Source organism: Homo sapiens, chromosome 21, assembly GCF_000001405.40.
Source record: "Homo sapiens chromosome 21, GRCh38.p14 Primary Assembly".
Lineage (NCBI taxonomy): Eukaryota > Metazoa > Chordata > Mammalia > Primates > Hominidae > Homo > Homo sapiens.
This window is the reverse complement of record NC_000021.9, coordinates 23,868,399-23,882,623: the sequence shown is the minus strand read 5'-3', so window position 1 is coordinate 23,882,623 and position 14,225 is coordinate 23,868,399. Positions and strand designations below refer to the sequence as shown.

Below are 14,225 nucleotides of genomic sequence, written 5' to 3'. Positions count from 1 at the left end.
TCAATGCCGCATTTTGCTTACTGTTTTTCTAACTTACATAATAACTAATAGGCATATTTAAGAAGTAGAATACATACAGCTCAGAAATGCAATGTGCACTATTTTAAGACTGCAGCTGCATTTATTACCCTATTCCTATAAAGTATTCAGGTTATTTTTATCTAACTTTCCTGAGAAAGCAATGGCCACATGCTTTCACAACTTACTTTGTGTCAAATCTATTTCTACCAAAGTGTAAAGGAAAAAAAAAAAAAAGGATAACCAAAGCAGTCACAAGATTAAAGATGTCTGACTAATCCTAATTTATTTTAAAAATCTATATGCTTAAGAATGCAGTAAACACCACACCTTCCCTTCTGCCTGTCTTTTATTGCCATCTTGTTTTCTTATTATTTACTTATTTATTTATTTACTTTGAGAAAAGGCCTCACTCAGTCACCCAGGCTAGAGTGTAGTGGCACAATTTCAGCTCACTGCAACCTCCGCCTCCCAGGCTCAAAGGATCCTCCCACTTCAGCTTTCCAAGTTGCTGAGACTATAGTTGCACACCATCATGTCCTGCCAATTTTTGTATGTATCATTCTTGTATATATATTAAATATAATATACATTATATGATATATATTATATCATATAATATATATCATATATGATATATAATATATCATATAATATATATCATATATGATATATATTATATGATATATTATATATTACATATAATATATGATATATTATATATTATATAATATATTATGAGCCGGAGGTTGCGTGAGCCGAGATCTCACCACTGTACTTCAGCCTGGCAACAGAGTGAGACTCCATCTCAAAAAAAAAAAAAAAAAAAAAAAAATCCACCCTCCCCAGTGTGGATGGGCATCTTCCAACTGTTGAAGGCAGACTAGAACAAAAAGGTGGAGGAAGGTTAAATTCATTCTGTCTCTTCTGAAAATGGGACATACATTTCCCACCATTGGGCATTGGAGCCACTGGTTCTTGGACCTCTGCAATCTAGGATTTACACCAGCAGCCCCCGGGTTTTTAGGCCTTTGGCCTTGTACTGGATGTTACATCATCAGCTCCCCTGGTTCTAAGGCCTTCAGATTTGGACTTAAATTACACCACCGGCTTTTCCGGTTTTTCAGCTTGCAGAAGCAGCTTATGGGACTTCTCAGCCTCCATATGCATGTGAGCCAATTCCCGTAATAAATTCTCTCTTACGTATCTCTATCAATCAATCTATATTTTTATATACTATTGGTTCTGTTTCTATAGAGAACCGTGACTAATACACTCAGATAAATTAACGGACCTGCCCAAGATCTCATAGTTAGTAAGTCATAGATAGTAAGGATTGGATTTAAGTACATTAGATTTAAATTCTGACATTTAAACCTCTTATACACTACTGCCTCTCTGAAATGAAAGCCTACTAATGGTATATAGCAAGTTTATTCATTAAAATAAATAAAACATAACATTACTAAGATAGATGCAACTAACATTGCTAATACCTTATATTAGACATTTATATGTAAAACTTTATCCATGGAAACAACATAATATTCAATAGTTAATGCTGAAGAATTATTCACATGATCTCCTACCCCCAATACAACCTTTATTGTAAGAACAAACATAATATAAAAATCTTAATAATTTTAAGGTATTAAAAATAGCTAAACCTGAAGACCTAATAGGTTATTTAAAACCAAAGTTGGCTTAAAAATACCTAAATAATTGGTAGAACAACTTTGCCTATTTCCTCAGATAAAATGTTTCCCAAGCAGGTATTAGCAAGTCTTTTAAATCAGTCACGACCTTTGCCAAGTAATAAAGACTAACACCATCAGTCATAAGTCATAGTGATAGCAAGCACGCCTGATTGGATGTGACAAGAAGGGCACGTCACCTCTGTGGCATTGGTCCCCCAAACCCATAACAGCAGTCTGAACAGGAGAGAAACATGGAAAGAACCCACATTGAGGATTGCTCTACAAAATATCTGACCAGGAACCTCAAAACTGTAAAAGTCAAGAAAGTCTGAGAAATGGTTACAGACCAGAAGAAAATACAAATATATGAAATCTAAGGATGATGGGTTTTCCTGAGAGTACCCTGGAATAGAAAACAGTCATTAAGGGAAAACTAGTAAAATGGTCAAATCCAAAGTAAGTGTAGACTACATTGATATTATCGTACTAATGTTGAGTTTTTAGTCATGACAAATGCTCTGTAATAATTCATGTAAGATTTTAACAATATGAGACTCTGGGTGAGGTGTATGGTAAAACTCTCCACAGTATCCTTGCAACTTTTCTGTAAATTTAAACAACTCTAATCTTAAAAATTCATCACAATCAATTCAAGGATATATTGCTTATTTCCTTGATCTTAGATATTCTACTTATATACCTTCTTGTATTTTAACTTTCTTAACCCTCTGATCTTAGCATTTCAACCATGAAAACCAAACAAAACCGAATTAAGAGAGCTGTTTTGTATGCCAAAATGGCAAAGTAGAGGAGAGTGGGAGAAAAGCATATCTGATATTTTTTCACTTTGAATCCTTAGATTATATTGGGCTTCTATTTAGCATTTATTTTGTTTTTCAATCTCAGTAATAATAATACAAAAAAATCAAGTTCATGTAATCAGTACCATCAATTTAAAATTATAATCGGTGTTATGGGCTGAATTTTACCCTCCTAAAAATCATATGTTGAAGTCCTAACCCTCAATACCTCAGAGTATGACCTTATGTGGAGACAGTGTCTTGTAAAGACACCGAGATAATCGAATTAAAGTGAGGTCGTTAATGTGGACCCTAATCTAACATGACTGGTGTCCTTATAAAAAGGGGGAATATAGATATCAAACCACACATAGGGAGATGATGTAAAGACATAGAGAGAAGATGACCACAGAGAGACATAGAGAGAAGATGTGGCTAATATATAACATAGAGAGGAGCATGGCTAATGTTTGGTTAAAGAGAGGGAGCCTTTGTCACTAAGTAAATAGTACAATATAAGTAAATGTTTTAATAGTGCAAAGATTGTTAGTGCAAAATAAATGTTAAGATGACCATCCACAAATGAAGGAACAAAGTTTGGGGCTGACCCTCCCATTGCAGGCCATAGAAGGGACAAACCCTGCCAACACCTTGATTTTGGAGTTCTAGCTTCAATAAATTGCTGTTTTTAAAGCAACGAACTCTGTGGTACGTGCTTAGAGCAGCCCTAGCAAATACAGCCAGTGACTAATAATTGAAAAGAACATATTGAGTGTAACAGTGGAGACAGCTTCAAATACTAGGCAGTGTCAGGGCACAGCTAAGGAAGTGCATGTAGTGATGAACTGGAGGATGAGTGCAGAAAAGTTCTAAGGGGGGATAAATCTAAATGTTAAGTTGCATGGAGATAGTAATAAGACAGTATTAGAAATTTCCAGGCTTGTACTTCCACAGCTCTACAGAAATAAAGTATATCAAATCTACGACAGAGGAACCCACACCAACCTCAACCTTAGGGATCCAAATAGCTTATTAATGGGAGGCTGGATCATATTGACTGGGGACCTGACTAGTTGACCATTGATAAGCTTTGTGTTTCAAGCAAACCCAAAGTAGTAGTGAGCTTTGGGAAGGGTGATACCTCCACTATCTTCTACATTAGAAAGATCATTTATAAATAAGGGTCCATAGTTCTTATCTGCTTGTTTCTTGGGCATGTCATCAGCTTTCATGTATTTATACATTCAAGGAAGATTCATGATTAAATTCAAACTGCATTCATAGTCCTGATGATTTACGTGGAGGATAAAACTAAATGAGAAATCAGAGTACTTTTCACATTTCCTTTCAAATTAATTCATCCAGGAAGCAAACATTGGTTGAGCTTCAAGTATGCATAATAAACTCTGGGAGGAATTACAGTGCATAGTAACATGATTAAAGAGATTCTTGGTTTTAAACTAGTAGTGAAAAAAATAACCCATAAAGATCTATAACCCGGCCAGGCACCGTGGCTCACGCCTGTAATCCCAGCACTTTGGGAGGCTGTGGCGGCTGGATCACAAGGTCAGGAGTTCGAGACCAGCCTGTCCAATGTGATGAAACCCCATCTCTACTAAAAATACAAAAATTAGCTGGGCATGGTGGCGTGCACCTATAGTCCCAGCTGCTCGGGAGGCTGAGGCAGGAGAATTGCTTGAACCCGGGAGGAGGAGGTTGCAGTGAGCCAAGATTGTGCCACTGCACTCCAGCCTGGGCAACAGACAGAACAAGACTCCGTCTCAAAAAAAAAAAAAAAGAAAAAGATCTATAACCCAACCCAGCATCATTCAAACATTGATTTCAGTAGTTCATTTTCTAAATATTGCTAAATAATAAATAATTTAACTTCTATTTTTGATATGTGTGTATGTGTGTGCCTATGTGTACTTTTAGCTAAAGGAGATTAATTGATTACATAGAAAAGGTCCGTTGATGGAGTGGAATTTCTGTCATCTTTAACAAGGGATTAGTATACACTTAAAGTAACATATTCTAAGTCATGCTATAGAAATAACTTTAGATAAGTGGATATAATGACTTTTAGATTACATTAAAATAAAGGAGCTTAAGTAGATGACAATAAAAATCTACCCAAAAGTGTAACAAAGCAAAAGAAATGCCAGATAAAAAGCATAACTGGCTCCAGTAATAGCTACCTATACCATGTAACAAAATACCCTAGGACTCAGTGGCTAGATAACAGTCATTTATTTATTTCTTTATTTATTATATTTATTTTTTATTTATTTATTTTTTGAGACGAAGTTTCACTCTTGTCACCCAGGCTGGAGTGCAATGGCGCGATCTTGGCTCACTGCAACCTCCACATCCCAAGTTCAAGTGATTCTCCTGCCTCAGCCTCCCAAGTAGCTGGAATTACAGGCGTGTGCCACCATACATGGCTAATTTTGTATTTTTAGTAGAGACGAGGTTTCTCCAGGTTGGTCAGGCTGGTTTCAAACTCCCAACCTCAGGTGATCTACCCTCCTCATCCTCCCAAAGTGCTAGGATTATAGGCATGAGCCACCGTGCCTGGCCAAAAGTCATTTATTAATGCTCAGAAGTCCACAGGCTTGCTGGATATTTCTTCTGAGCTAGATGAGGTTTGTGCAATCTTAGCTGGGCTTTCTCATTTTTGTCTGCATTCAGTTCATGGATGGGGAGGGAACTGGAAAGTCAACATAGCTTAATTCAGGTCGGTGGCACTTGGCAGTTGGTTGGCTCATGTAAAGAGGATGACTAAGCCACATGTCTCATCATCCAGGTTTTCGCTCATGGAGAGGACAACTTTCATGCCAAAGAGAGAAGTGCAGAGGGCTTCTGAAAGTTTATGTTGGGAACCGACACACTCTTATCTCTGCTGTACTTTTTCTGACAAGGCAAGTCACAGACCTGCCCAGATGCAAATGTGAAGTACAGATTCCATCTCTTAGTGGAAGGAAACACAGAGTGAATTCAAGAAGGGATGCAAGACTATGCCTGACTTTGCAATCTACCACAGCTGTTAACCAAGTGACGTTCTGACTTGTCACAACATTCAACAAGTTATACTGAAATGTCTTCATTATTGAAATACTTAACTTTAAGAAATGTTTTCTAAAATGCCATATATATTAGATATAAACAAAAAACATACCAAAATCAATACAAATACTTCACCTCATTCAAACATTGTTATTCAAGTGTTCCCAGGAATGGTGGATATGAAGATTTTACTGTGAAAGTTGAGAAAAGATAAGAAACTCCCTTTTGTGTGAGAGGGTTAGCAACTCCATAACAAAGGACCTCAGACCAGTGGTTTAAACAACTTTCCTTTCCCCTCCCCTCCCCTCCCCTCCCCTCCCCTCTCCTCTCCTCTCCCCTCCTCTCCTTTCCTTTCGTTTCCTTTCATTTGACAGAGTCTTGCTCTGTCCCCCAGACTGGGGTGCAATGGTGCAATCTTGGCTCACTGCAACCTTCGCCTCCTGGGTTCAAGCGATTCTCCTGCCTCTGCCACCCAAAGAGCTGGAACTACAGGCGTGAGCCACCATGCCTGGTTACTTTTGTAGTTTTAGTAGAGACAGGGTTTCACCATGTTGACCAGGCTGGTCTCAAACTCCTGACCTCAAGTAATCCACCCGCCTTGGCCTCCCAAAGTGCTGGGATTACAGGCAGGAGCCACCGCACACGGCCATGAAAATTTATTTCTCACAGTTCTGGAGATTCAGGTGTCAACAGGGTTGATTTCATTCTGAGGCCTATCTTTGGCTTATAGATGGTCATCTTATTGCTGTATCCTCACATGATCACCTCTTAAGTCTGTGTTGTCTGCGTCCTAATCTCTTGTTCCTAAAAGGACAAGGGTCACATTTGAATTAGCCCACACACATATGACTTCATTTTCCCTCACTTACCACTTTAAAGATCCCATCTCCAAATACAAGCACACTCTGGGTTACCGGGAATTAAGACTTCAGCATAGGAGTTCCAGGTTGTGGTGGGGGGAATAATTCAGGCAATAAAACATTCTATAGAAATAAAACCAAACAGTCTATTGATTGCTGGACGTGTTATATAGTGCTCTATAAATAGTCTTGTTAAAGCAAACTAAATATGGCCCGAGAAGGACTCTGTACTTCCATATTTGAGTCCTTGTGGACGAACTGCGACCTAGCTTAATTGGTAGACAGAATTGAAAATGTAAGTTAGGAGTATGCACCTGTAACGATAGCTGAGTCTTGGCCAATCCCGGTGGCCGTACTTCAACCGCTCATACACTGCTGAGTGTCCAAACTGCTCAAATAAGGCAAACGCCAGGTGTAACCAATCCAGCTGTTTCTGAACTTCACTTCTGATTTCTGTATGTCATTTTCCGCTTTTGTCTATAGATCTTCCACCACATGGCTGTGCTGGAGTCTCTGTAAACTGCTGCGATTCTGGGTCTGCCTGATTTGTGAATCGCTCATTACTCAATTAAACTCCTTTAAATTTAATTAGGCTGAAGTTTTTATCAGTCTCTATAAATAGACTGATTCCATTTGTATTAGTGTTAATTCCACAGTTGTTCTGTTCACACTAGCCTCAGTGGAGACTACTGAGAATGAATATTCTCTGCTGGCTTTCTTTGAGAATTATCTGTATCCATTTTTGATCTTCAGGTTTTGCTCATTATGCTTCTGGAATAAGATTTTATGATTTGGCCAGTGTACATATAGATAAACTATTTCAGTGAGTGGAATTGAAACTTTTATAAAAACTCAAGCCTTTGTGAATAGATATTTGTATCAATCTTTTGCCTTAATTTTAGCTCAATTTCAGGTGAGTATAAGCGAGACAGATGAAGATCTTTTGTACGTTTCAGCTTTTTATATATATTACATGTGTACACAGTACTATGCATTTATATGTACTATGAATTACAATCACTCTAGTTTCTGAGAAGGTGAGAAGAGCATAATTTTTATTTTTTATTATATAAGTACAAATAGATGTTGATAATTTCAGAGATATATTTAGTTCAGGGAATGAAACAAAAGCCAGAACACCAGCCTGCCTTTCACTCACATTTTCATTATGTAACTGGGAATCTGCAGGTACCTGGCTCTGCACAAATCTATGTTCATCAGAGAAGAAAAGCCTTTATTTCAACAGAAAAATCATTTTGCCTACACCAAGACATATTCACAGACTTCACTTGAATTGTGTGGAAACAAACTAAATACCCTATATGCAACTCTTAATCTCAATGACGAAATGTTGCTTCTGTCTCCATACAGCTATTATTGTTATTTAATTGAAGAATAAAAGTATTTCCTAAAAGACAATTACTTCTTAGTTTTAAGAGATTGGGTAAATAAAACAAAATACTTTAGAACTCTTGCCTTGACAAGTACATGCCTGGGTTTTTTTCCATAGCTACTCAGGAATTGAATGCATCTTTACATCTACTGTTCTATCAAGGATGCACACCCTTCCTTCACACTATTTTTTTAAATGTAATCTCAGAAAATAGAAACTATAACAAAATAATACGCAAGCGTGTCTTAACTAGTTACAAAAGAAGCATAAAGCATTTCTAAATTTTCAAAGAAGGGATCTTGAATAGCTTTTTTTTTTTTTTTTTTGTAAAGCTCAGCATATTTGTTGACAGTTTTGGAGCATGAATTCAAAATCAGGGCTTTTAAGCACCCAAACATGTTATTTTTGCTATGCTCAATTGCATGAAGAGTTAGACTTGCTCATGTTACTTTCTTTTCTTTACTCTCTCGGCCTCAAGAGCAGATAACTGTCCTCCCTTGGATGCAGAGAGTAAAACTTTCTGTTATGTAAAAGTGAGAGTTCTTGGCCAGGTGCGGTGGCTCATGCCTGTAAATCCCAGCACTTTGGGAGGCCAAGGTGGGCAGATCACAAAGTCAGGAGATCTAGACCATCCTGGCCAACATGGTGAAACCCCATCTCTACTAAAATACCAAAAATTAGCCAGGTGCCAGGTGTGCTGGTGTGCGCCTGTAGTCCCAGCTACTTGGGAGGCTGAGGCAGGGGAATCACTTGAACCCGGGAGGCGGAGGTTGCACTGAGCTGAGATCGCGCCACTGCACCCCAGCCTTGGAGACAGAGTGAGACTCTATCTCAAAAAAAAAAAAAAAAAAAAAAAAAAAGTGAGAGTTCTTAAGCTCAATGTAATGAATATTTGGATGTTGTCTTCCAGTACTTGTGACATTTCCTAAAATTATTAATAGGAGACCTCCACATAAGGCCCAATAATCTTTTGCACAACCTTCAGCAAGAACTCTCCATGATGTTCTGGCCACACATATTATAGACCCATGGATCTTGACCATTCTTACCATGAGAAAGATTGGCATTGGGGATTCCTATTTATTGATGTATCATTATTATTTATTAATTAACTTGCTCCATTTCAACTCTGGCATTCTCTTTTAAGTACTTTTTACCTCTCAACCTAAACTCTAATGACATTGATTGAATATTTTTCGTGATTAATTCACTGTCTTCATCACTAATTCACTGATTAGAATTATCTGATATCCAGAATTCCATTATTAATATTTTGGTCTCTAAAGTCCAGACGACCTGATGCTAGGATAGCATGATCCTGAAAAGCTGTCAGTTTTGAATGGTATTCTTTTTTAAATTTATCCACACACCAATATTATGAGGAAAGGTTTGGATATTGAACAAAAAGATTAAGGAGTAGGCTATGTACATTTATTTTATATTTACTGTCATTTTATACTCTGATTATCTTTTCTCAAACCTCTAAGGCATTCTATTTGATGGTGAATTATCTATATTTTCTTTCTGGATCATATAGGATGTAAGAGATTTTGTTGCATTACAAACAACCCCCAAATCCAATTGGTTTATAAGACAAGGTTTATTCTTTGCAAGTGAAGCATGTTTAACTAGGTCCAGCAAGGCCCTCTGCTTATCATTGTTGTTCAGAGATATTATTGATAGACATCTAACTTTGATAATCTAGGGGAAGAAAAATATATTTTTCTCATTCATGCTAGTTTCATGGCCGAGACTTCTTCAGCAAAAGACAAGATTGACAGGATACAAGCATATACATTTATTTAATATAAGTTTTGTATGACATGGAAGCCTCCCTAAGGAAATGAAGACCAGAAGAAAAAGTTAAATTTGCTTATTTTTATGCTAGGTTTATGAAGTGGCCTGTTTGTTTAGATTCTTCTCTTTGATCCTGTGACTTCATAGATAAGGATGTTCCTTTCCTCCCGGTATAGGGAAAGCCCTTTGGCATAAGGGTCTCATGGCACTCTTTAGGGGAATGTCAGAAAATCTTTCCTAAGCTTATGCCCTCCTTCAGGGAAGAAAAGTGAAAGTAACCTTCCTGCTTCTGCTGTTTTCTTAAATGCCAAGGTGCTGTAATTTGGAGCAGTGTGCCCTGAGCTCCATCAATATACCTCCTTCCATACACTATAGCCAGCGAAGGAAAGTCATGGCAAGCTACATACTGGCTCTTCACCATCTGGCAGAGGTGGTACATATCATTTTTGCTCACCATTCCCCAGGCAAAACAAGACATACAGCCAGAACTGGGGCCAGCAAGGAGAAAAGTACAATTATTCCCCAGCAATGGGAATTCGGAATTTACACCCAAAATGCAATCTGTGTAGACTACCAAAAGTCTAGTCTTCTGGTCTCAAATGTTCAATGTAGTCTCCTTTACATGTGAAAAGCAAATTCCTTTCTATTCACCTCCCTTCACCCCCCAAGAAAAACCCAATTCAGTTACAGCACTAGGGTCTAAATCTAGGGTATTATGGTAGTCTCCACACAACTTATTTTATTCTGTGGAGCCAACAAATAAAAAGGTTGTATTTTCTCTCTAGCCATATCCCCCTCACCACCTTCTACCCTCACATGCCTAGTATACACATATAGAAAAGAGTCATCACAACTGCAATAAACAGTCTCATTAAGAATGAGGAAAATGGGGCCAGGCGCGGTGGTTCGCGCCTGTAATCTCGGCTCTTTGGAGGCTAAAGTGGTCGGATCACGAGGTCAGGAGTTCAACACCAGCCTGGTCAACATGGTGAAATCCCGTCTCTACTAAAGATACAAAAAATTAGTTGGGTGTGGTGGCGCATGCCTCTAATCCCAGCTACTGTTGAAGCTGAGGCAGGAGAATCCCTTGAACCCAGGAGGCAGAGGTTGCAGTGAGCAGAAATTGTGCCATTGCACTCCTGCTGGGTGACAGGGTGAGACTCTGTCTCAAAACAAAACAAACAAACAACAACAAAAAACAAATAAGAATGCGGAAAATGGGATTTGCACATTTGCAAATGACAATTCTGAAATCCTGCCAGGCAGGCATTTTGAGGTCCTTTTTCAACACATCACTAGAAATATAAATAGGGTCAATGTTAAAGACAAAATTTATTCAGACAGTAATTAAAACAGTAAAGAAGGGTTTATTCAAGACTACTGCTATCGGGGAAAGAAATGGGGGTCAACTTTGACTGTAGCAAAGATAGCTGGAGACTTATAGCTAAAGAGGAGAGTGAGAAGGTCGGTGGTTGGAAAGTTGCTAAGAGGAGGCATCAAAGATAGAGGAATTCTTGCTAAACCAACTTAATTGGATTCTTGCTGAAGGGCAGGCCAAAGACACAGAAAACAAAGATGGGAGATGAGAAACCTGATCAGATATGGAGAGTCATCCGGTATCAGAGGTCAGGGATTCTTTCTAAACTAAGGAGAACTCTTGCTAAGACTGGACTATGCACATCAGGCAAGGATGGGCGGCTAAGGTCAAGGCCTACTCTGTAAGTGTGCTTAGAGGAGCCTGGCTACAGCTGGGTCAAAGAGAGAGTTTTGTCGCCAAGTATTACAATATAAGTAAATGCTTTAATAGTGCAAAAATTAATAGTGCAAAATAAACATTACCATGTGGGTCAAAGCATCATATTTTTCTCAACTTGTATCTAACTGAATTGATACTGGTCTAGAAAATATTTAATCCTCTTCTATGCCTTTCCGTACACTGCTTGTCAGAAAAGTTGCTTTAGAGCGGCTATTTTAAAAAAGGAAAAAGAAAAAAAATATTGCTGCAAGTTATTCTGATTTTCGTCACTGGCTCCTGCCATCCTGCTTCAACGAGGGTTTTGTTTTCTTCCTTCTTCCGTGGAACACCAGAAACTGCCTTTCCTCTGTCAGGGAGCTCTCCCACAGTGGGAACTTGAACCTGTTTCAGCCTTTGCTGCCTTATAGTCAGTCCATAGACGTGTTCTTCACTCACACTCCTGCTTAATGTCAAGATTGTTTTCCTTCAGCTCACACCCTTGCTGTGCACATCTCCATGTACATTGGCCTTATTTTTATTTATTTTTTTTGCATGTAAAAAGCATGTTCTTTTATTGTCCTGGTCCAAATTTGAGGTATTTGCCTTCAAATTTGTTTTTTGAGTCTTTTTTTGTTTTTCTCACGTCTCTGTTGTTTTACTGGCAGATGCTTCTGGTTGATTTGCTGGAGATGGTATTCTGTAGGTGTTAAGAAGTGTGGCTACAAGGGTTTATCTCCATTTTCATTAGACATCTTTCATTTGGAAAAATCCACCTTGATCTCATAGCAAACCTGAGATGGTGGCTGTTTCAAGTGCAGTCCAGGGAAAACCTGTGTTGCAACATACATGACACACTTAACAAATGCAGAGTCTGGGGGTTGTGTCATTTCTGGAGCTTTCTAAGCATTCCCTCCTGTTTCTAAACACACACCTTGATTTTCATCTAAATGGACTTTAAACTCTAGGCGATGTAAAGGACTTTCCCACTATACTGTATTCTACAGCCCAGGAAAGTAACAAATATTTCCTGGAATTGTTTTTTGGCTACACTGTAAAACAACTTTAAGACTGTGCATATATAAGACATCCTGCATCAGCGTTCTTGGCCACCATATTGGTCTGCTCAGTACATCTAAATAACTACATATTTACCTTAACACAGTTGCTTCTGGAAATGGGGAAGCCAAAAATTATTCAGACAGTAATTAAAACAGTAAAGAAGGGTTTATTCAAGACTACTGCTATCGGGGAAAGAAATGGGGGTCAACTTTGACTGTAGTAAAGATAGCTGGATATTTATAGCTAAAGAGGAGAGTGAGAAGGTCAGTGGATGGAAAGTTGCTAAGAGGAGGCATCAAAGATAGAGGAATTCTTGCTAAACCAACTTAATTGGATTCTTGCTGAAGGGCAGGCCAAAGACATAGACAACAAAGATGGCAGATGAGAAACCTGATCAGATATGGAGAGTCATCCGGTATCAGAGGTCAGGGATTCTTTCTAAACTAAGGAGAACCTTGCTAAGACTGGACTATGCATATCAGACAAGGATAGGCGGCTAAGGTCAAGGCCTACTCTGTAAGTGTGCTTAGAGGAGCCTGGCTACAGCTGGGTCAAAGAGAGAGTTTTGTCACCAAACTGTGGCTATTTGAAATCTAGATTTGAAATATTTCTCAATATTTCTTTCATTTTCACTTATGCTACAAATGCCAATAGAATCTGCCAGGAGAAACTAGATGTAAAGAGATGGGAGCAAGGTGCCAAAGTCAGTCATAACATTTTCTTATTCCATTTAATAATTTATTTAAGCATATGGGTTTGAAAGACTTATCTTAAAGCATCAGCCAATATATCATCTCATTTACTTACAGCTTCATCCCTACTTCTCTTTGCTCTCTTCCTATCTCATTCTTAAGAGCAATGAGAATATTTCAAGAGACTCTAAAGCAATTTCTTCTTAAAGAGATGTTGATGTGCATGTTACAAGCTTGCGAAAATGGATATGGATTATTTTCTTCAATTGGGTAATATAAGGAGGCTGATATCCTAGAAGCCTCAGATTCATTCAGCCTAAGTAGTATTATCGTTGAGACTTGACCACATTTTGCATATGAATATTCTGCCTTTTTCTGTCTGGTAATTTAAAAGCCCAAGTTGCGTGAAAATGAAGGGTTATGAAGCTACCTCTATTAAATACAAAGTATAAAGTTTTTTTTTATTGCTCTTTGGGCACAGATTATTAATGCCATAATGACACTAAAGAGTATTAAATGCAAATTTGCAAAGCTCTAAAGAGCTTTATTAAGATAAGCAACATTTTATTGAGTCAATTCAGTTGCTATTTTAATGAAAGTCTGGCTAAATAAATCTCAGAAGAAGCCACCACAGATGTCCTATCATGTATTCTGGGGAATAAGCAACTGAATTTAGGAGGATGGAGAGATAAACCTGTGAGGAAGCAGAAGATTGGAAAAGGTGAAGTACAGGACTACAATCAGCCTCTCAGAGCAATTTCTTTCATTTCTGTTACTATCACTGCAGTTGACTACCATACAAACCAATTGTCTGTCTTTTGATACTAAGACAATTGGTTTGTATGGCAGTCAATTGTAGTGAGAGTAACAGAAATTACATTTAGCAAACATAAGAGAAACCTTTCATTTCTTTTTTTTTTTTCTTTTGAGATGGAGTCTTGCTCTGTGGACCAGGCTAGAGTGTAGTAGTACAATCTCAGCTCACTGCAACCTCCGCCTCCCAGGTTCAAGCAATTCTCCTGCCTCGGCCTCCTGAGTAGCTGGGACTACAGGCATGTGCCACCACTCCTGGCTAATTTTTGTATTTTTAGTAGAGACGGGGTTTCAC

General features: G+C 38.2%; 1 long non-coding RNA gene across 2 annotated transcripts in view; it reads right to left on the bottom strand.

Annotated features, from left to right (window-relative positions):
* Positions 1-6,223: 6,223 nt before the first annotated feature.
* LOC105372750 (uncharacterized) overlaps positions 6,224-14,225 on the bottom strand; it is a 63,784-nt gene continuing 55,782 nt past the window's right edge. For both annotated transcript variants that reach the window (XR_937612.2, XR_937613.2), the window contains one exon: positions 6,224-6,385. This is a non-coding gene — a long non-coding RNA (uncharacterized LOC105372750). The remainder of the gene's footprint in view (positions 6,386-14,225) is intronic.